Raw genomic sequence first — 24,353 nt, 5'->3', positions numbered from 1 at the left:
GGCTCACGCCTGTAATGCCAGCACTTTGGGAGGCCAAGGCGGGTGGATCACAAGGTCAGGAGATCGAGACCATCCTGGCTAACACGGTGAAACCCCGTCTCTACTAAAAATACACAAAAATTAGCCGCGCATGGTGGTGGGCTCCTGTAGTCCCAGCTACTCGGGAGGCTGAGGCAGGAGAATGGCGTGAGCCCGGCAGGCAGAGCTTGCAGTGAGCTGAGATCGCGCCACTGCACTCCAGCCTGGGCGACAGAGCAAGACTCCGTCTCAAAAAGAAAAAAAAAAATATATATATATATATATATATGTATATATAAAATAATATGAATATTAGAATATGAATGGTATTGTGATAGTTTTCCAAAGAGAAATTATTTATACTTTCAGGGAGTCAACATTGTAGTCAATATTACATGAAAATTAAGTAGATATATGGAAAGATCAGGCTGGCGTTTGTTGGATACATTTACTATATCTTACTGCAATATGGGAGAAATTCAGTAAGTAGCAATGGATTTATTTAATCCTTTAAAAGGGATTTCTTGATATTATAAGAGTTAATATTAACTGGGACTACTCTGATTTGCCAATTTTTAATAATCCATCAATCTGACATTTACATTTTGGCTTTGTTCAAATTATGTCCAAAAAACTGCTAATAGCTAAGCAAGAAAAACATTATATATAACACAATACTGAATAAAAGAACTCTTCAAAATTATTATTATTTATATGGTGGATCTTATTCTTTACTGATCTCTGTATTGTGTAATTTCTTAAAATTGGTACTGGACCGATGTAAAAGTTATTAAATACATTGATTTTAGTCCATTGGTTTTTATATGTTTTCAAGCAAGAAGCAGACATGAAATCTATTATCTTTGAAGTAAGAATATGTATTTATGGAGTATTTCAAGTTCAATAATTATTTCTTCCCAAAATAATAGTTTCTATATTTAATATGTAAAATAATTCTTATAGAAACCTAACAATTCTGCCATATTTTGCTGCAAATTACATAAATGAAATTGTAGTTACAAGATATTAGAATGGCTGTAACCCACAAACCCTGCTGTTAAAACTAGAAAATAGAAAATTAATCTGGTACTATAAGGAGAGAAGAGAGGAGAGATAAATTACAGCCGGTGTGGCAAGAGTTGTGGGATAAATATTATCCTAATACCTATTTCAGCATCAAATAGGTATTCACTCCAGTCTGTCTATATTCATAATCTCCCTTTCTCTTTTATTCACTATTTTTTTCTTCCCCGGCATACTTTCTATTTAACTACACTGTAGAATAAAATTATTAAAAAATACTGTTTATTCCTTTTTGAAATTTCCAAAAATAGCAGTCAATTTGAAATGTTCATATTCCAATAACTACAAGAATATATAAGCCATCAACATCAAGGGAATTGTACTTGTTTCTTTCCCCTCATCTCTAATGAAGTTAAATTTTGGCCTGTCTGAGAAGAGCTGGTCTAACAGTTTTAATTGTGCAGAGATGGAATAGGCTGCCACCTGAGGTAGTAACCATCCTGTCAGAAACTGAACAAACATCTATGACAGCCAGCCTCCAAGATGGCCTCTGCTCACCACCCTCTCCTGGTTGGTATTCACACCTTTGTGTGATCTTGTCCGGAATTTCAGTAATGATATGTGACCAATAGAATATGGCAGAAGTGATAGTATGTCCCTTCCAAGATTTGGTTGTAAAAGGCACTGCATCGTATATTTTGGTCAATCTCTCTCACTCCCATGGATCACTCACTCAGGGAAGCCGGCTGCCATGTTGTGAGTGGCCCTGTGGAGAGACCTACGCAGTGAGGAAGTGAAGCCTCTTGTCAACAGCTTGTAGAAGTGGATCCTTGTGCCACAGCCTAGTTGTCAGATGACTGCAGCCCCAGCTGACAGCTTCACTGCAGCCTCATGTGCGATCCTGAGCCAGAACCACCCAACTAAACTGCTCCCACAATCCCAAACCTCAAATTGGGTGAGATAATAAATGTGTGTTGTTTTAAATTGCTAAGTTTTGGAGTAATTTTGTATGCAGCTGTAGATAAGTAATATACCATCTGACAGGAATATTTCCTTTGGGTGCAAGATGAGATTTTATGATTACTCACATATCTTCTAATTCTTGTGTTTGTTAAAACAAATGGAGGTGGGGAGAAACTTCCCATTAAGCATTTTATAACCAGACAATGTAACTGTAGAGTTTAACCAAAGTAATTTGTAGGGCAACAAAATGTTTCTGCAAGGGAAGGAGCAATAGCAAGTAATCTTTGTAGTTTCCCATTGATAGTCCATTTATCTCTGCCACAAATTAGAAGTTGTAAAGATTAGGTGCACAGGTGGGCAGGTAAGACATAGCATTAATCACAGTATTAAGACAGCAGTTGACTGTAATATTAGGCTCATTAGATAGGTAGATAGATACACACACACACACACTCATTACAGTGATAGAAACAAATATTGGTCTTCAGTCTCATCAGGATATTGTGTTTGTGATAAGCTATTGTCATAAAATGTCCCAAACCAATACACAAACCTAATAAAAAGTCAGGCAGAAGAAAAAGAAAAGGCAAATAGTTGCAAAAGAGTAAGGTAAGAGTTGTTCAACTAAGGCAGCTATCAGTGGGTGGGTGAGCACATTAGTAAACTCAGCACCTGAGATGAGTGTATGGATATCAGACTTGATCAAAATGCCAAATTTATATAAAGATTACACTTGGAGTCTTTTATTTGCTTGTAAATGTTATCTAATGAGTTACTAAAAATTATACATATAGCCCATATGCTGATTTCAAAAATCATTTTAAAAAAATCACAGACAGCTTGTTTGCCCAGAATGCAGTTGATTTTTGATCATTGTTGTCATAAGACATGGATGTATGTAATCATCTGAAATTTACCCAAATATCATTGAGCTTTTAGTTTTGACTTTCCAGCAACTGGTGCACCTGGAGAAACTTGTGCTGTCTGCTGTCTTTAGATAGAAATTTGCTGGAAGTATGAAAGAGCAATTGAAATAATTATTTTTACTTTCTTGATCTCCTCTTGTTGCCTGCTAATCAGGGAAATAAAGAAAAAAGTGAACAGACAAATAAAGAAGCAAAGGTCCTCCCCAGTCAGCTCTGAAGATACCTATGCTCTGTGCTCCCCGTTGATCTAGCGAGGCCTTCAAAAATGATTTAGCCCACTAGGAGTTCTCCAGTTCTTAGGATAAGCATTTATGCCCAAATTGCCATTATAGTGATTTTCTGTGCTCTCTAGTCTGTGGCATTGTATTTTTATCATCCAAGCAAGTGATTAGTGGAATCTATTCATGCTTTATCTGTGGCAAACTCAAATTTACATTCTTTCCCAGCTTGAGGGCTGTATAGTTGGATGGAGTGTAGAGCTACTTATAAAGGGCCTGCAAGAAGAAGTGATGGAGGTTGGTTGGCTAATGGGTAGTTTTATTCAATATAATTTATTTTGAAAAATCAGCTAAATGAAAAGTAACTCCATGGTCAAAATGATCTTTTGTGTATCCTACAAATTTCAAATTCCATTATATCACTGAGATTAATAAACACACTATAAGAGCAAAATATCTTAAGAGAGTTCCTCATACTGAACTATTCAGTGTTAATTATATTAATAGTTGGGCATGGTGGGTGATGCCTGTAATCCTAGCACTTCTGGAGTCTGAGGAGGGAGGATCGCTTGAGCCAAGGAGTTCAAGACCAGCCTGGGCAGCATAGGGAAACCCTATCTCTCCAAAAAACAAAAAAAGTAGCCAGGTATGATGGCACACACCTGTGGTCCCAGCTACTGAGAAGGCGGAGGCAGGAAGATCAGTTGAGCCGGGGAGGTCAAGGCTGCAGTGAGACATGAGTGCACCATTGCAGTGCAGCCTGAGCAACAGTGAGACACTGAAGAGAGGAGGGAAGGAAGGAAGGAAGGAAGGAAGGAAGGAAGGAAGGGAGGGAGGGAGGGAGGGAGGGAAGGGGAGGGAGGGAAGGGGAGGGAGGGAAGGAAGGAAGGAAAGAAAGCAAAAGAAGAAACAAAGAAAAAGGAAAGGAAAGGAAGGAAGGAAGGAAGGGGAGGGAAGGAAGGAAGGAAAGAAAGAAAAAGAAGAAACAAAGAAAAAGGAAAGGAAAGGAAGGAAGGAAGGAAGGGGCTGGGTGCAGTGGCTCACACCTGTAATCCCAGCACTTTGGGGGGCCGAGGCAGGAGGATCACAAGGTCAGGAGGTTGAGACCATCATGGCTAACACAGTGAAACCCGGTCTCTACTAAAAATACAAAAAAATTAGCCAGGTGTGGTGGTGGTCGCCTGCAGTCCCAGCTATTCCAGAGGCTGAGGCAGGAGAATGGCGTGAACCTGGGAGGTGAAGCTTGCAGTGAGCCGAGATCGTGCCACTGCACTCCAGCCTGGGTGACAGAGGGAGACTCCGTCAAAAAGAAAGAAAGAGAGAAAGAAGGGAGGAAGAGAGGATGGGAGGGAGGGAGGAAAGGAAGGAAGGAAGGAAGGAAGGAAGGAAAAATTACATTAATATGATTAAGATTTACCGGAAATCTGTCATTATTTGAGAGAAAGAATTTTGTCTGATGCACAGAGAAAGGAAGGGGAGCCTGAGAAGTTCTAGGTGGGTATGTTTTGGCTAGGCAGGGGAGCACTGGAAAGCAAGTGAAAAGCACAAAAGGAAATTCAAAGGTAAGATTCAAAGATTCCAATCTTCCTACCTTCCTCATGGTTTTGCCGAGGGCTGTTTCAAAGGTTGGTGCACCTGGAGAAAGCCTTGCCATCTGCTCCCTTTGGACAGCCTCAAGTTTGCCTCTGCTGGAAGTGAGCTTCCAAAATTAGTCTGGAACATTAAAAACCTCGGTTTCCATTAATTCAGCTCAAGGTCCCCAAGGACTAGCATATTTAATCTAGATTTAGCTGATTAGCCTGCATTTCGCTGTGTAATTCCCATCCTTGGCTGCTAAAATGGGAGGAAAAAAGAGCAAGTGAAAGTAACAAGTCCTGTCGGGATTTGGCTCAAGGCAGGAGTTAGAGAAGCCAGGTGGCAGACTGCCTGGGAGGAAGTGCAGAGTGGGAACCAAGGGTGAGGCAGAGGTAGAGTGTAGAGTTGAAGGTCAGTGAAGGTGAAGAATGAGTCTTATGAAGTAGTTATTGATGCAAGGGCAGGAATCTAGCTACTGACAGATCATCAAGGATTAAGAGAAAATCTTACACAATACTTACCAGAGAACAATGACATTGAACTTTGTTCCTCTGACCGGATGTGGATCTCAAAATGTGAGTTCAGTGTGGGAGCCAAGCTAGCACATACATCTGCTGGCTTAGAGGAAGAGGATGGAGATGAGAAAAGCAAATGATTGCCTTGGAATGTTTAGAGCAAATGGATGCACTTTCCACATCTTCTCTTTCCCTCTCTATTTTTAGTTCAATATACAAGGATTTCTGTGGCTCCAAGAAATCTCAACATCCTTTTCCTAAAAATACAGGAAGCTCCTGGATGGACTTTATGAATTTTCCATTTTATAATTGATTTTGCCTCACCAACCCTGGTCCTACAGAACGTAATTTAACAAAGCACATATGACTTATTTATATTTATGAGAAGTTGTGGGAAAATATCTTCATATGTGATGCTTAAAGAAATGTTGACTTCAGAAAGACTATTTGCTTTCGTTATCATAATAGTTGAGCCAATATTAACCAAATTATTTTTAATGAGTAGGGAGTCATTCATTTTGAGAGAAAATGTTTATAAATCATATCTTCTCATTCATGTAGTTTAATGTTCTGAAGTAACTGAAATCTATCTAAAAGAAAAAACACATTAAAAAAATACAAAGATGATGTACAAAGAGCACCTATTGAATTTGATGGCAACTGCCCTTCCATAGGATATGCTGAAATGAACCAGAATTGATTAATTGCACATTTATCCATTTATTTTTCTTTTAAATATTGAAGTTCTGGGCACCAATTACCAAGATAAAGTGAGGAGGAGGACATAGGCCTTGCCTTTATTCAACTTAAACATTTAATGGAAGTATTTTTCATCTAGAATTTTCTTTATCCTCTTTGGCCATATTTGGTAGTAGATCAGATTTTAGGACTATTCATAAAGTCTTTTTGTATTTCTTAAATTATGCATTTTATTTAATATTTACTTAAAAATTATTTTAAAATATCACTTCAAACAAATTTTAATAAGAATTCATTTAAATGAATGGAAGAATTTTTTAAATCTCATATATGGGCATTTTTGGTAATTAAAAGCAATACGGAAAGATACCTACTCTGTTAGTTTTCTAGTCAGTAATATTATTTTACTTTGTATTGATAGTTGCAGAACCACTCAGTATGAAAATGCGTCCTGGTATAATAATAGAAGGCAGGCCCGGTACGGTGCCTCACACCTGTAATCCCAACACTTTGAGAGGCCGAGATGGGCAGATCACGAGGTCAAGAGATTGAGACCATCCTGGCCAACATGAAGAAACCCCATCTCTACTAAAAATACAAAAATTAGCTGGACGTGGTGGCACGTGCCTGTAGTCCCAGCTACTCCGGAGGCTTGAGGCAGGAGAATCGCTTGAACACGGGAGGCAGAGATTACACTGAGCCGAAATCACACCACTGCACTCTAGCCTAGTGACAGAGTGAGACTTCGTCTCAAAAAAAAAATAATAAAATAATAATAATAATAATAGAAGGCAATATTGTGAATACTTACCATGTTACACCTCTGTTCTTAGTGCTTTACAGGGGTGATCTCATTTAATCCTCCTCTCTCAATTCTATGACATAAGTAATATTACATCCATTTTACAGATATGGAAACAGAGGCATGCTGAAATTGAGTAAATTTGCCAGGGACACATAACTAGGGATTACTGAGGGTGGTTCAAACCCAGGGAGTCTGGGTACAGAGAGTGTGCCCACTGGCACTCTGCTGTGTTGCCCACGTAGCACCTGGATGTTGCTGTGTCCCTGAGGATTTTAAAATCTATTGCTTTTCATGTCTAGACACAGGATCAGGAGTCATTTGAACAATGACCAGTTTTATTCCTATTTCCTTGCAAGTAATTAAATGCTAACAATCATTTAATTTAGTGTCATGTAGTACAAAATGCATTCATTTGTTTTATTTGTCCCGCAGTGTGGCCACTGATTCCTGACGGTGCAAGGGCACACTGTAAGGGTTCAGTGTCTTCTCCTCAGTTATTTCTGATAATATAACCCACTTAGACAGATATGCACAGCATCCCTGCATGCACACACACTGTGCACACACACACACCTACACAGGGACTGCCCGGGAATTCCTTTTACTTTCTTAATTAAGGGAATTAGATAGAAGAAGTGCTAAGTACTAGCTCACATTTTTGCAGTTTGTGTCTGGCTGTATCCTGCTTCTCTGCAGCAAAAGCTTTCTTTGAATAGCTTTGGTTTTAATTACATGTAGAACTACATGGCTATGGATGTGTCATTTAAAGATGAAAATGGATCTCCTTCACCTTTGAAATGGGGAATAAGTAGTTGAGACTATAGAATGTTAGGATTGGAAGAAATCTTAGAAAGTACCTAACGATCTAATATAGCCTCCCAATCATGAAATCATTTTTATATAGTACTCCTTGCACTATCAATGATGGTTAACATACTTTATTACCAGGTATTCTTTTCCATCTTTAGACAAATATGGTTATTAGAAAGTTGTTTCATTTTTAAATGAGTTCCTGTTCACTTTTTCTTTCCTTCTGGTATTGTCTAGCTCACTGAGCTTTACTGCTTGGCACTCAGTAGGCACTTAGTATATACATTTGTGATTAAGGAAGTTCATTTACCTTTTAGCATGAGGAACATCGAGCCCATTTCATCAGATGTCTTTTCACAGCCACTATCAGATAGAATCTCTGCTTAGCAGTTCACCAGCTACGGAAGACAGTCATACACAGATCATTTTAATTCACTATATGCTAAAAATATATATGTATAAGATGCTACAGGATTCCAGAGGAGGGGCATTGGATGGGACAGAGAGGTGGAATAGGGACGAAGGGGGGTCACAAAATGTTTTCTAGAGTAGATAAGTTTGAGCTGAGTCTTAAACATGAGGATGATTTATCCCATGAAGAAGAAAAGCAGAGGTAAAAGGGCACTTCAAGGGGAAGAATAGTAGCAAAATAGCATGGAGACACAGCAGCATATGAGGAAAATCTAAGGGGCTCCATAATGCTAGAAGATAGAGTAAAAGTGGGAGCAGAGGAGCAGGGCTAGAGGATGGGGGAAGCCAGGTCACTGGAGGCTGTGAGTGCTGCGTGTGATCACTTCATGTTTGTGAGAGCTGGGGATCAAGGCAGGCATAGAGTCCGACTTGGACGGCTACCCTGTTTTCATTAGTTCAGCTTCTTTTCAGGCACAGCAGCTATTCCCTTTCTTTCTCTCTCTCCTCTGTGACATATTTTCAGTGCAAATCCCATCATGGACATACTCTGCCTTTTAGATACCAATGTACCACTTGAAATGAGGATTCAGACATTGAACCGAATATTCTAGAGGTTTCCTGACAGAATCAGGGCATGAAAAGATTCGTGTTTGTCCTTTACACACTCTCATTTCATTAACACAACTTGTTCGTGTTCACTTTTTGGTAAGCTGTGTTATGCTGTTGATTTGCATCTATAGCCAATTAAAATGCTAGATGTTTTGTGAGATGTCCTACTTTGTAGCCAAGATTTTCCAATCGTTTCTGGATGTTTTTCCATTTTGTTTAACCTATGTGTATTTGTTTGTATTATCCAGTTCACCATGTCTTATTATTAGTTCCTGATGAGATCATTAGAATGCAGATATTGTCTCTAGTATAATCACCAATTTGCCTTTTTGCTATTTACCTATTTGATAGGCATGTCTTTGGATCTTGGGACAAAGCATCATGGATATGTTTCATCCTATCCCATATAAAATATATATCTGATATTTATCGAGAAATATGGGTATTAAATAATAAAAGCAATTTAGCCATATGAGATATTCATTTATATTTAATATATCTTTCGTTATAATAAATTAAAATGGAGACTTGAAGAATCTGTGAGAAGACTAAGACAGGCCTCATAAGTCACCTTAACTTTGCTTGATTTGCAAACATAAGTGAAACTTAACTTGAGCTTTTTCTTGTAAATGCTTATATTAAAGAAAAATGAAACTTAAGGCTGATCAATGAGAAGTCACCAACTTATACTTCCGCAGGTTGGGACTTTCCAGCAGCATGGTAAGGTAACTGTATAACTGTAACCCCTCAAATATTTGCTTTGCCTCTGTGTTCATCCTATTAAAAAGCTTTGCCTTTGTGTTCCCTCAGCAGAGTCCCCAGCCCATTTCCGGTTTCGAGTTGCCTTTAACATGTCATTGTGCCTCAGTTTACCATTTAACAATTTACATAAACTGAACCACATTCTCCTAAAGAAGATAATGTTAATTTGTTTTGTTCTCATGTTAGGCAGAGGTGGAGACATTATTAAATATTTAACCATAAAATAGGTGCTTCTTGTTTTCAACTTATATGACCCTGAGTTTATACATAATATACTTGATTTTCATGGTTGTGACCTTTTAATTATATAAAATTGTTTTCATCTTCAAAGGAGGTCTGGTCCATATTATAGACTAGAATCTTTAGAAAGTAGTAGAGAATTTAATGCATAAAATAGAATAATAAAAGATAGCAGTAGACCTAACACAGAGAGATTATTCTGATGGACATTAGATGTTTTGCGTTTGGAAATGTCTACTTCGTTAATCAACTCATCCTCTCTCTAAGGGCACAATAGACCCCTTGAAATTAGCTAACTATTTTATTTTTGTTCTTTATATTATTTCTATAATTTAAATTATCTATCAAAACACATTAACCTTGCTGCTGAATATTGAGTGTTACACTATGTAATGGCATTGGTCAACCACTCAAGCCAGTGAAGCTCAAGGGGTTATTTAGATTTCTTAGCAATCTGGTTTATCTCTAGAGATCACATTGCCCTTCATTCAGAGTGATGCAGACCCAGAAACTAAGCCTCGCCACTACAACTGCTGAATATGTAATCTCAGTAAAAATTTCAGATCACAATCTTCTGTCTACCATTTGCCAGGAGGAAAGTTGACTGTGTGAATTAATGAATAATTTATCTGTGCCTTCTCTACCTCAGAGTATCCAATCTGTGTATGAGTTAGGCACAAGTCTAATTCACTGTCTTCTAAATGACTTTTTGAGGAGTTATTTCAAATGAAAACAGTGAAGTATTACATCTTTCAGTTTGTTCCACATTCCATCCCACACACCCTAGGCTCCTCTTACTGACACCGGGGCTTTCTCAGATTCCCTTTCTTCTCTTCCCTCCATTTTCACCTCCGCTGTCTCTAGATCTGACCTAACCACCTATCGCAGTGGTTCCCCACCTGTTAACTACGTACTATCTGGAGGGTGAATGATTGCTAGGAGTGCTTCAATCCATTTATGTACCAGGCACGGTTAAAACAAAAATCACGGATGTCCTGCACGTATGTACAACGAATATATTCAAATATATCTAGGTGCTTTGGGGACTAATAAAATATAAAATAATGTAAAAGCATTGCAGAATTTGCTTGGCAGTATTCCTAACTGATCTATAAGGTCCACATTCTATGAGATTTGCATTAGGAGTGTAGGAAGATGAAGGGTTGGAAGGAGTCTCTGCTTGGTTCCTATTGTTCCACAAGATTTAAGATCATGCAGGGCTTTTGTTCATGACCAAAGAGTAGGAAAAGGCAAAGTTTCAGAAACTTAGTACTTTCATCTCCTTTATTTTGCTGATCATTTCTATTTGAGTAAATGCACTACAATAAGGAGCAGTATTGCCGTAATGAACGATGATCAGTTAAGAAACTATTGAAATGAAATCAATTAAATGTTATTAATTTTATCCAACTCACAACATAATTTAGTTGCCATGTGTAATATTTTAATATTATATATTTTTTCACTTTTCCCACTTTGGTGTTTATATTTTTCTTTGTGTAGGAAAATGTTCACAATTATATCATGCTTTTTTTTTGTATTTTTCACATAAGCACGTATGTAAAAGTGATGCTTGATAAGTCTTACTGGCTGTAAGGGAAATGGGATATAAAACAAAACGTGACTCCCGATCAAAACATTTTGTCCTTCAAAAATGGAAACTTTAGGAATGGGCATTCATCAAGAGGTGGTGTTGACGGCTATGTTGAAAACAGGCATCCTGGGCTGGGTGTGGTGGCTCAAGCCTGTTATCTCAGCACTTTGGGAGGCCCAGGCAGGACAAACAGTTGATCCTAGGAATTCGAGACCAGCCTGAGCAACACAACGAGACCTCATCCTTGTCTCTACCAAAAAATTTAAAAATTAGCCAGGCGTAGTGGCGCACGACTGTAGTCTTAGCTAGTAGGGAAGCTGAGGCAGGAGGATCACTTGAGTCCAGGAGCTGTGATCGTGCCACTGCACTCCAGCCTGGGTGAGTCCCATGCTTATCCAAGCTAAATAAATAAAGTTACTTTTTGCTGACAGAATTCAACATAGGTTATACGCGCGCGCGCGCACACACACACACACACACACACACACACACACACACATATGTATAACTCTTGTTGTAATCCATAACGATTGCTAGAAAATGAACTGGGCCGGGCGGAGTAGCTCACGCCTGTAATCCCAGCACTTTGGGAAGCCGAGGCAGATGGATCACTTGAGGTCAGGAGTTTGAGACCAGCCTGGCCAACATAGTGAAACCTGGTCTCTACTAAAAATACAGAAATTAGCCAGGCATAGTGGCATGCATCTATAGTCTCAGCTACTCGGGAGGCTGAGGCAGGAGAATTGCTTGAACCTGGGAGGTGGAGGTTGCAGTGAGCCAAGATCGTGCCACTGCACTCCAGCCTGGGCGACAGAGCGACACTCCATCTCAAAAAAAAAAAAGAAAGGAAAAGAAAAAGAAAAAAATGAATTTGTTAAAAGAGCTTTAGGTCTTCAACCAGAGTTTATAAAAATTCTAGGAGATCATTGAGGGATGTAAATGATATAATGTATAACTTTCTGTGATGAATAAGTTTTTAAAATAAGTTTTTGTTACAATCTAAATATTTTAACAATTTCCTTATTTAACCCTATTTAGCCAGATACTGCCAAGTGGAGTAACATATACATTCACTGTATATTATAAATTCCAAATTGTAGATTTAACCGGGTAACCAGTTGACATCAGACTCTATTTTCCCTTCTGAACTATAAGACTTCACTAAGTGCCCTCCTCCAGCCTCTAAATTTTACCATGTTGATGCTTTAGGCATCCCACATGCCATTTGGACATTTCACTCAATATTTCTCTCACTTCCTTATTATAGATCACAATAGCTTTCTGCTTACCCTGGCAATTCTGTAGCCTACACTTTCAAGGAATTATTAGTGGTTTACACAATTATCAGTGTAAACATAACTAACCATAACTATCTCCCTTACTCTGCTTTCTGTAGGCTTCTTCTTCCTTTCTACTGTGAGTACACGTGCTAACATTCACATCCTGGGCAGTGTGTCACTCTGCTGTTCGTCTCAGCCAGAATCTATGCCAGAGTCACACTGTGTGAGTGTTGACAGTGCTGTTCACACGTGCTCTGTGCTGGGGAAGAACCCAGCAGTTATGGTCCTTCTCCTCCTTTCCAGCTGTCTTCGCCCTTCTTCTTGGTAATGTCACATTTCCTGTACCCTCAGGCTATCGAGGAAGCCTGGCATTAAAAAGCAAAAAGAGTGAAACCGTCTTTATAGCACATTATGCTTTTCAAGGAAAATGCATTCCCAGTGATTTATACAGTTTCACTACTGAAAGTTCTCTCAGGAGAGAGTAAAAGCTAGCATATTAGTATAATCTGAAATATTTTATCAAAGATTATATTATTAAAAAAAACTCATGTAACAAGAAAATGAAAACTTCAGCACGTATGTATGATTTTCCCCAGAAGGACCTTGAGTTGAGTACATTTTAATATATACACATGCACACATACCCACATATTTCCCCCTAAGGAATCTAAGTTGAGTAAGTCTGAGTAAATTTTACAAAACACAGTGGAGTAAAAGAAATTCTGTTTAAGTAGGAGAACTTATATACGGAGGTATGATTTTTGTTTTATTTTATGTATTTATTTATTTATTATAGAGGGGATCTCACTGTGTCACCCAGGCTGGAATGCAGTAATGCAGTCATAGTTCACTGTAACCTCGACCTCCTGGGCTCAAGCAATACTTCCACCTAAGCCTCTTGAGTAGCTGGGAACACAGGCGTGAGCCACCATGCCCAGCTAATGTTTTGTTTGTTTGTGTGTGTGTTTGTTGTAGAGATGGCATCTCATTTTGTTGCCCAAGCTGATCTCAGAAGAAGTATGATTTCTATTATATAGTATTGCTTTTGATTCACTGTGGCCCCAGGACTGGCCAGAAGAGCAGGGCATCAGAATGATTTGCTTATAGTAATGTGGAGAGTCAGTGGTTCAGCTTGAATTAGCATCTACATCCTTATTAGCTGCCTTGAGTTGTCAGAGCCCTCTGTGCTTCCCTTCAGTCCTTGTTCTTACACATAAGTATTAAAAGAAACTTGGTTAGGGTGGTAAAATCGGACCTTTCATTCTCTCACTAAAGAAACCAAATAATGATTGATATTGAATTTCCTTAGGATTTGTTGAAATTTTCTAGATAAAATATCTCTAATATTTTATGTTAAAAATAGCTTTTTTATATGTTTTCTCTTTCAAAAGTTAAAAAACATTAAATTTATATTTAGTTTATTTGGGGAAAAGTATAGTTTTTATCATTTCACTTAGAGGTTTAGGTAGTAACAACTCCTGGCTTCAGTGTTAGACCTGACATATGTGGAGATGATTTCTAAGCAATAGCCCAGATTTCAGGATAGATGGAACTGTGCAGAAAGATGCGGGGTTTCATTGGTGGTGCTCTTTTCCCCATGCTTAAAATTGGCACTTTACTGAATAGGGAAAATAGTGGTCACTAATGACTACAGTTGGAAAGAAAATTGTATATATATATATTTTTTTTTTCATCTGTATATAAATATATATATATATGTATATCTCTCTTTTGGCTGTATATACATAGAGTTGCAAAGAGAGAGAGTAACATAGAGAGAGAGTCAGTTTAAAAGAAAGTCGAAACAAAAGGAGAGAAGAAAAATACAGTTTACTTGGGGAAAAGATGGACAGCAATATTCTGTTGAATAAACACAAGAATTAAGAGCTCAGAAATCTGCCACTTAGGACTAATGAAAATGAGTTTTCATATTCATTTGGCAGCTTCCTTGTTTCCACCTCTGCTTCTCAAGTAGTTCAGTAAGTCATGGCAGAAGGCAATCTAAAGGATAGATGAACTTGACTGTGCGCTCTTTTCCATAATGCATCAAGTCTAAATCTCTGTGCAGAGGTTTTAATCGGGCGTACGTAAAACTAATTCCTGCCTTATTTCCTGCTGTGCCCCAGCACTCGGCTCTGCTTTGCCCAGGCTGGTTTCCTCACTAGTCCATCATGCTAATTCTGTGCATTCCTTTATGCTTTCTCCCTTGGCCTCTTCAAGGCTCAGCGTGTCTTCCTAGATTACGTTCCATTGAACTCCATTCTGTTGCATACAGTTTAGCACCTTACTACAGACTGTCTTGATTCATGTTTTTGTATGTCAGTATTTCCTCTGCAAGGAAGCTACTTCAGGTCCTGTCTTATTCATTCGTGTTTCTACAGCTGTCAAAGAATCAAAGGGAACTCCAAAGCTTTTCTTGATTCATTGTGTGTTTCTCTGAGAATTAGGAAGTAGAGTCATATGGGAAGGAAATGTGTTCACTTTAGTCTCTTTCCAATTTTCATAAACCAGAACACAAAAACATGCATATTTCTTGCTTCCTGACCTTAGAATTTGGTCTCAATGTCTGTCCTCTGGATAATATGAGATGATATGGTTCTGAGCATTATTTTAGATTTTGGGTAGTGCTCCCAAATGCAGGACAAATATACCTGGAGATAAAAGTGATGTTTTGGAGAAGTCCTGATTGAGTTTAATAAGACCTAGATATTCGACCTGACTCAATTAAGAACAACCGGCTATCTCAGAATTAACATTTTGAGTGATAAAGCTTCTGCTTACAAGCCGAATAACCATCAGCATGATACTTACTTTCTTTGGGCATAACTGTCCTTACCTTTAAGTCAGATTGGACCGGTTGGTCCATCTCTAATCAACCTTTCAGTTCCCAAGTTTCAGTTTCCATTTAATTGTTAAAAATTAGGATCATCAACAGAAGCAGCTCTCTATACAAAATAGGATACCTGTATATCATGGCACTTGGAGGGGACAATCACTTCGAGAAATCAGGATTCCAAATTCGTAAGAGGAAGGTACCTTCTGTGAAACTTGTGCCGTGGATGAGTCTTGTTCTTACTCCTATTGACAATCCCTGCCTGACATAGTACAATGTGGGAGAATAAAAACGTGCTGATCTTCAAAGTTATTGTGCATCATGGGTTATGTGGAAGGGGTGGAAACACTTCACTGAAGCATGAAAATTTCAGAAAGGAATGGGGAAAGTAAGGGACTGACATGAAGGTGGCAGTCTCAGGCTGCCAAACCTGAGAACTGAAGCGAGTAGAAACAACATACAAAGTACAAATATAAATCAGGGAATCACTGGAATTTAGTTGAATTCCAGTGGAATTGAGTCTCGTCTCTTGCAAAATCTACCAGGGATTGGGTAAGTATTTATGTTTTTCTGTTCCAAAACTATTTGTATCTAGAGCCTTAATTGTGATCGCCATGGATAAAAGGGTAGTGTCTTGATAATAATAGTTCTGCCAGGCACAGTGACTCACGCCTATAATCCCAGCACTTTGGGAGGATGAGGCAGGTGAATCACTTGAGGCCAGGAGTTCAAGAACAGCCTGGGCAACATGGTGAAACCCTGGCTCTACTAAAGATATAAAAATTAGCTGTCATGGTGGTGTGCATCTGTAATCCCAGCTACTTGGGAGGCTGAGGCATGAAAATCATTTGAACCTAGGAAGTGAAGGTTGCAGTGAGCAGAGATTGTGCCACTGCACTCCAGCCTGGGTGACAGAGTGAGACTCTGCCTCAAAACATATATAAAATAAATAAAATAAGATAGTTCTAAGAAATATCTCTGTTGTGTTTACTATGTTCAAATATTTCAGAATATTATTTTCCTTTTCTCACTGAAACTTATCTTTTGGGTAAATCATAACCCCACTGCTTATTCTTTTGTAATTCTTCATTGTATCTAACACAGCATCCTGCAAGGGGTTAGTTAGGGCTGGATGAATGGAGTTGATTGGCCATAAAATCCTACTGCGTAATGCATTAGTGTGTTTCTTAGGATTCTTTCCTTTATGTGACTTTACTGAGGGAGTGAATGATTCTTTGCTACTTCCCCAGAAGCAGAGAGAGTTGGTGAGTATGCTGATATACAGCTACGTAACACCGCATACTGCAGCAATTGCCTGTGTTTGTCTTCTCCCAGGGATTCCAAATGCCAGCTACTGGCCCTGGGCCTGTAGATAAAAATCTTTAGCTGATATGGTACTTTAAATTGGAAGATCAATCTCCAAGTGCCTTGAAAGCATTCAGCTTCAAAAATTCATGAAAGTAAGAAGAATATGACTTTGTTTAAGAGAAAAGGTAGCTCATGATTGGCGCTACAGCCATTGTGATGTGTGAATTGGTTTCTGATGTTCAGCTCTGTGGCGATAAATAATCTGACATCTGGGGCAATGTTCTCTTGTCTCATAATCAGCAAATGTTTTATCTTCAATGGCTGCATTTGAATTCTGCAAAAATTATTACGGTCGAAATTGAAGGGAAACCTAACAGTTTTGTTTTGTTTTGAATATTTGGCTTTCGTTTCTTTAGCTACTAGTTTAAAGGGAAAGTTCAACTGTTTTGTAAGCCATTTGCTGTAAGAGAGTCATGACTGCTGTTTTGTGCAAAGCAAAGGAGTCTAAAGCATAATACTGCATAGAAACACTGCTTTTTTCTTTTCTGACTCTCTCAATGTAAGTATGCACAAACTTTCTTTCCAATTTATGCAGTGAAGCTGTTGCCTACCTCAACTTCAAATACTTTTCTCAGTTCCCCCATCAATACTTAAAGAGGTTGTTGTTAATTTCTGAAAAATATCCCTTCCCCCAAATTGCTCATGTATCAGGCTACTATTTACAGTAATCTAAGTGAATAGATATCATTCACACTCTCACAACCTCAGAATTACAAAAATGAGGCAAAAGAGAAATGAGACTAGCCCAAAATTCCATAGAATACCTTCCTTCCTAGTCACAGTAGAATAAAACTCTCCTGATTTGCAGACCGAAGCCTCCCTCCATGAAGGTGTTGCCTCTCCTGTGACCCAAGCCACCGGGCCAACTCCCTGAAGGTCATTCAAGGCTTGAGATGACTCATTCCAACTCCACTTGGGGCCACACTCTTTTTGGTGGCAGGTGCCTGGGCACTTATTAAGCTGTTTAGTCCAGAACTCTGTTGACTCCTTTCCAGAGCTCACGGAGAGCCAGACTGGTGCCTGGAACAGAGCAAATGCTCAATCCCTGGGTGTTACCTCCCCATCCCAACAACACTGCCAAAAATAAATGTTAGGGCTTGGGAAGGAGAGCCATATAAATGATGAATGGCTTAGAAATAGATAAAGAAGTTCAGGTCGTCTTAGAGACATGTAAGCTGAAAATGATACCAATATTCTTCCTCCTGCAGGGGTAGCACAGTTGTGCGTTCATGATTCCCTCTTGAGGCTCACTATAGAGTGGGAGTCAGGAACCACCCCCTGCTTCTTTAGACAAACTCAGCTTCCACTGTTTTTTAATAGTGGCTGTTACATACAATTGTATTTGTACCAGGGATTGTAATCCTATTTTACAAAGAAAAAAGTTTGTGATACACATACTCTATTTTCACTGGATTTTATATGAGATAAACTGTCATGGGCATCTGCTTATTCATCTGTCAAATGAGACATTGAATTTTTTTACTCTGAGCAAACTGCATAACTCTCCAAGGAGATTGTTGTACGTGGGTTGTCTCTGACATTGGTTACTAGAGACAGGCATCAGGGTGAGAAGTTAGGACTCCTGTGGTCCAACCTTGCCTGCCCGCAACTCACTGACCTCCTCTGACCCTGGTGCTTCCATCTGTAAAGTCAAGTTCTTGGACTAAATGAGCTCTGACAGACCTTCCAGCTTTAAAAGTTATATAATCTCAAGTCTGGAAAACTTTCTTAAGAGAAAAGCAATTTATAAGATTTATGTCTAAGAGGATTTTAAGGAGAAAGATAACACCCATCTGTCTTTCTCTCTGTCTATCTATCTCTCCCTCTCTCAAATGCATGTGAGAGTATTTTTCTGAAGGCCAGGAGGATTTAAAGACCCTTTCTTTAAAGACTCTGTCACTTCTGTGTTTCTAGGGTTTTCAATTCTCTAATACTCCAGTTTAACGCTGTTTCCTGGGGCATTATAGATTTCACTTGTGTAAATTCTTCTTGTGTTTTTGTGATCTCTTTCAACCAGAAATGAGTTTTGTTTCTTTATTTTTGTGGCTGTTTTTTGTGGGGTTTTTTTTTAATTGAATATAGTAGCTGACTTAAGTTACATGGTTATATTCTTCCTAAATTCATACTTTAGGGTTTTATTTTCTTTTTTCAGCTTCATGTAGGTCTGCTTTTGAATAAGTCATTGAAGCAATTGAATGACATTTTTGAAATCTTGTTTTATAAGTTCACTTCCACACACTAGAGTCTATTAAATGGAAGGGACATATTTTCACTCCATAGTGGAAAGTTAATGCATAGAACAGGTACCAAGACTCAGCTTTTCTCCATGTTTGAAATCAAGATGCTTTGGTTCTTTTTAGCAAAAATCTTGCTAAAGTATGAGGTGACAGGCATGAGAAGGTACAATGCCACTAAATATGAACCACATTACAAAAACAAATGTTCCTGAGCTGGAAATAAAAATTAGCTCCTCAGGAACTTAATGAAACACGAGGTATAAAATGGTAGCAAAATAATCTTTAATAGTGATCTTCAAAATTGTTGGCATCAGGACTTTCTCAGGTACAGAGGAACAGTGTGACACAGCAGCTGATGACATTATTTTTCGTTCCTGTTAACTACTCAAGGAGGTGACAGCTGTGAGTGTTGTACCTAATAGCAGAAGTGAGCTCACCTCAAATTATAAATACCAAGGGTAATGTAGTGATAACTTCTCTCACCTAAATATTTTGCCCTCTTGGTTAATAAGGCCTTCTGTTTCACCTGAGAGATCATTTCTTTTTTGAAATTGCTGTTGTGAGCCCAAGGAAGAGAAAGTATCTTGGAGCAGAAGAGAAAAAAGCAGTCTCCCCAAACATCTATAAGCCCTGCCCTGCCCTGCCTCCAACAAACTTCCAGCATCTGCTGAACTCCGAAGTGCGATTTGCTTAGTGGGATCTAAACCCTTTGCTCTATAAAGAGGAACAGAGGTAGTTACCTACCCAAAGATGCATGGCTGAAGGATATGAGCTTAAAGGCTATCAGACATAACTGTGGACAGTGGAATAGGACAGAGAGAGAAGAGTTTATAAATATATGGATATGGAGAAATTGAAACTTACATGGTCACGCTTGGTGGCTCACGCCCATAATCCCAGCACTTTGGCAGGCTGAGACGTGAGGATCACTTAAGCCCAGGAGTTTGAGACCAGCCTGGGGAGCATAGTGAGACCCCCGTCTCTACAGAAAGCAAAATAATTAGCCAGTAATGGTAACACATGCCTATAGTCCCAGCTGCTGGGAAGGCTGAGGTGAGACGATTGCTTGAACCGTGGAGATAGAGGCTACAGTGAGCTATGATTGCACCACTGCACACCAGCCTAGGCAATTGAGTGAGACCCTGTCTCAAAAGAAAAAAATAAATAAACTTGAGAAACAAATGCAGAAATCCATCATTACTGAACGGTTACTGTACTTCTATAGAGTAAAAGTGTTGCCTGACTCATTTGGGTAAGCATATCTAATATGCATAGCCAATATTCACTTTTTTTTTTTTTTTTTTTTTGCCAGAACATTCAACCATGTCAGGCCATTAACTTGCTGGGATCCTTAGTACTCTCGTGTAGCCAGGTGCACTCTTGCTCTTTTTCACATCTAGTCTCTTTATTTTAAAAAACAAAATTCCATACATCCTTCATTCATGTATTAATTCAGGAGCTCTACACTGAGCATTTTACTTTGTGCCCGGCAGTGTTCTCTGCATTGGAAATGAAGCATGAGCAAAAGAGGCTGAAATTTGTCCTCATGTAGTTCACATCTGGAGGGAGTATACAGCAATGAACAAAATAAGTGATTACAACATATAAGGCATAAGATATGGTGAGGAGTACAATGGAGAGAAATAGAGCAGGGAAAGGGAGGGGAGTGCCTCGGGATTTTCAATAGGGGAGTGAAGGGTACAGCCTCGCTGAGCAAGGCATATTTGCATAGAGACATAAATAGATGCACAAGTGCCCTATGTGGGTATCTGAGCATTCCAGGCAAAGGCAGCACATACATGGGCGGGAGGCCGGAGGGTGCCTGACCAATTCAAGGCACTGCATGTGAACCAGTGCCCTGAAGCAGTGGGAGTGATGGACAAGGATGTGGCCGGCGGGGTATGAAGGTCAGGCAGGGACTCAATGATGACTTAGGCCTTACTCTGAGGAACAAAGGAAGCCATTCGGTAGGTTTTTAAGAAAGGAGTAACGTGATTCGACTGACTTTTTAACAGGATTGCTCTGCTGCTGTGCTGAGAATAGTCTGAGAGGGAGAGATTGGAAGGTCGTTTTTAAGCTTGAGAATGGTAATAGACATCCAGGTGGAGATGACTAGGCGGCAGATGAGTCTGGAGTTCAGGGCAGCTCTCCATCGATATTTCTAGCTCGCTTTGTCTACAGTCATGGTAAGTCCACGTGTCTAAATGTCTCCCCTTTCCCCCCTTGAGTAATTGAACAGATTCGGCAGTCTCTATAAGAAAATGTTAAAACAGGCAGTTAGGCAGTTAGTTAAAGTAGAGAGCCATTTGTGAGCCTGATTTGCTGGAAAATAATAAAGAAGAAAAGAAAGCTGTACATCAGGATAAGAGAAATCCTCATGCAGTAAAGTCTTCAAAAATGTTACAGACTCCAACGAGTCAATATCCTGAAGGAACTGAAAGTATGGTTCGGGCTCCTGCTCTGTTCTTCATTTCGCCGTGAAGGTTATTGTTAATTATTTCCTTTGAGCTTTAAAGTCAGCATTCATGCTTGTTTCCTCATTATTTTCCCACTAAGCTAATTAATGCAGTTGCACAGGAACCCCAAGATAGGCTTTTGGAGAGGCAGCAAGGGTTTGCAGTGAAGACCCGAGTGAAGGCCCAGGGAACTCAAGTGCCAAGTCTAACGCTACCATTTGGGGGTGACTTTGACCAAAATCACGATATTTTTTTCATCTCTCGCACCAAATGCCATATTAATACTCCCAAAATTAAAATGGTTTTGCTTTGTCACTGGCATATTGAATTTTAGATCCCAGTATATCCTGAGTTCTCAGATAGTGGGAATTTGAAGATCAAATAGAAATAAGAGTGAAAACCTAGGTTAAATCCCAAGGGCCATGATTTAGTGACCTTCCAAAAGACATTTAATCCTCTTGACTGCAATATCGTTACATCCCAAACCTTGCTGTGAAAAATATATGGGATAACTTTTTTTTTAAGATGGAGTCTTGCTCTGTCACCCGGGCTGGAGTGCAGTGGTGCGATATGGGCTCACTGCAACCTCCATCTCCCAGGTTTAAGTGATTCTCCTGCCTCAGCCTCTGGAGTAGCTGGGATTACAGGCGCCTGCCACCACGCCTGGCTAATTTTTTGTATTTTTAGTAGAGACGGGGTTTTGCCATGTTGGGCAGACTGGTCTCAAACTCCTGACCTCAGGTGATCCGCTCGGCTCGGCCTCCGAAAGTGCTGGGATTACAGGTGTGAGCCACTGCACCCGGCCTGGGATAACATTTTTAAGGACACTTTTCACAGGGAAGAGGCATAGAAATAAGGCAGTATATTGTAGCTATGAAAACCACGGAAGCTGAAGCCAAGGCCGCATGGGTTCGAATTCTGGTTCTCTTCCTTACTAGCCAGGTGAACTCAGCCAAGTATCTTAACCTTGTATGCTTCAACTTCCTCATCTGAAAAATGGGAATAAGAGTATAATGTCTAATATAGCTGGTGGTTCTAAAGATTAAATGACTTAATACGTGAAAAATACTTACATCAGTGTGAAACACATGGATGCACTCAGTAATGATTTATAATAAATATTACTATTACTGCTAGTAATATAGTAATACTATTGTTACTGCCATTTTCCTCTTTCTCTTCCTCATCCTTCTCCTCCTCCTTCCCTTCCTTCTCCTCCTTGTCCTATTACAACTACTACTACTCCTCCAATTCAGGTGAAATTCCAAACATAACCGAAGCATTTTAGACACTAGCAGAATTCTAAGCCATTATCATTGAATAAAATAAGAGAGCTTATCTCTCATGGGGCTTTACAATCTTGAAACAAGATATGATGATGAAAGAATTGGTATCTTATTCCCATTCTCTCTCGCTTTTTCTTTTCTTTTTCTGAAGGAAGAAATAAAGGTAAAATGAGCTAACAAATGTCACAACAAATTGAAAAGAAACCAACAACTAACTGACTTGAGTGCTTCTTGGACAACCCTTCTTGCTTTTCTTCAACGTTTTTTGCCATTCTTCCTTTGTCCAGTGGTGAATTAACAGAACCTTGTTTTCTGTTCTAAGCAATTACCCTCGAGACGGAAGTCCTGATAAACAAGAAAGAGATGCTGGGGATAGAGGGTGGGTGTGTGGGGAGACACAGAAAGCACCCCTGACCTTTCACCCTGGGGTTTGACACTGTGCGTCCCCAGGCCAGCACTGGCCCTTGGGAGGATAACTGACTCCTCACTGCAATGAGAGGTTGTGACCAATTCTGTTCCCTGCTGAGTTCTCTGCACCCCAGAAGTTAGAGTTTCAAAGGTGTGACCATATCCCAGATTGATGCTAACAATACAGTTAGTGTGCACTTTTATGTTACTGGAAAATCATCCATTTTCACCCAGAACTGTTATACATAAATGCTTTGTCCTAGAAATTCTAAATAAAATTTGTTTGGCCTTCCTGAAATATCATCTGCCATGGCTATTTTTTTTCCTTTTTTTTATCAAATCAGGAAGTGAAAAATATCAGTTAGAAAATTTCCTCAGCATCTATGTTAAGAACTTCATAAAACCTAATTACATTTTACCACATTTTATAATTCTGTCATGCTGCTCCTACTGGGGGATATCATACATGCAGCCCCCAAATAGCCCCAAGATACACACACATACTTTAATAGGAATAAACACACACACTCTTCAGTGATAATAAGATGAAGACGTATAGGGAAGGTTTGTTTCCCATCAGCAAGTGGTACTGAAACACTTGCAGGTTTTCAGTGGTAACGTTTGAATATATATTTAAGGGATTTATTATGAAAAGCTTCTCCCATTCCATGAGGATGACTTGGAGACTTGCACAGGCAAAACAGATGAGTCGGGGCCCTGTCCCCAAGATGAGTCGGGGCCCTGTCCCCAAGCCCTTGGCTTTGTTTTCAGCTTGTAGGTGTGATCATATTAGGTGAATAAAAGAGTATCTTTGCATTTCATTGATATAAATGCTCCCAGCCTCTCTAGAAATAGCAGAAAAATCAAATCTTACTTGAAAAAGAAGCCTAATGCTTCTTGGCAAAGCGATACCACCCAAGCGGATTCTGATGATACATCATTATTTCCTGCTGTAAGGTCAACGAATTGCTCTGGGACTCTGTGTTATCTCTGTGCTGCTGTAGTCTGGAACTTGCTGCTCATTTGAAAGTCTAGGGCTATTGCTTATAAAAAATAATAGCTTTGCTAAGATTAATACTTTTGAGGGATTGGAATGTTTGTTTTGTTTCATTTAAAAAACAGAGCAATAGAGCTGCTAAAACAGCAAGCTTTGTCTTTTTTCTGAAATCCCTTACTTCACTAAAGAAATGTGCAGGAAAATCTCTTTGTAACATAAGCTCCCAAAAAAGTACATATGTCTTTTGCAGATTTTATGTCACAATTGTAACTTATCACAATATATGTTTTCATAATGCTGATGAAAGAAAAGTTGTGCAC

At 39.2% G+C, this 24,353-nt stretch overlaps 1 protein-coding gene and 1 long non-coding RNA gene across 12 annotated transcripts in view; one reads left to right on the top strand and one right to left on the bottom strand.

The window, feature by feature from the left end:
- Nucleotides 1-5,039, bottom strand: part of DLGAP1-AS5 (DLGAP1 antisense RNA 5) — a 31,399-nt gene extending 26,360 nt beyond the window's left edge. The window contains exon 1 of the long non-coding RNA NR_036489.1: nucleotides 4,740-5,039. This is a non-coding gene — a long non-coding RNA (DLGAP1 antisense RNA 5). The remainder of the gene's footprint in view (nucleotides 1-4,739) is intronic.
- DLGAP1 (DLG associated protein 1) overlaps nucleotides 1-24,353 on the top strand; it is a 959,276-nt gene that overhangs the window by 185,667 nt on the left and 749,256 nt on the right. The window lies entirely within an intron of this gene.

Source organism: Homo sapiens, chromosome 18 (genome assembly GCF_000001405.40).
Source record: "Homo sapiens chromosome 18, GRCh38.p14 Primary Assembly".
NCBI lineage: Eukaryota > Metazoa > Chordata > Mammalia > Primates > Hominidae > Homo > Homo sapiens.
The sequence above is the reverse complement of the archived record's forward strand: the minus strand, read 5'-3'. Positions and strand labels throughout refer to the sequence as shown.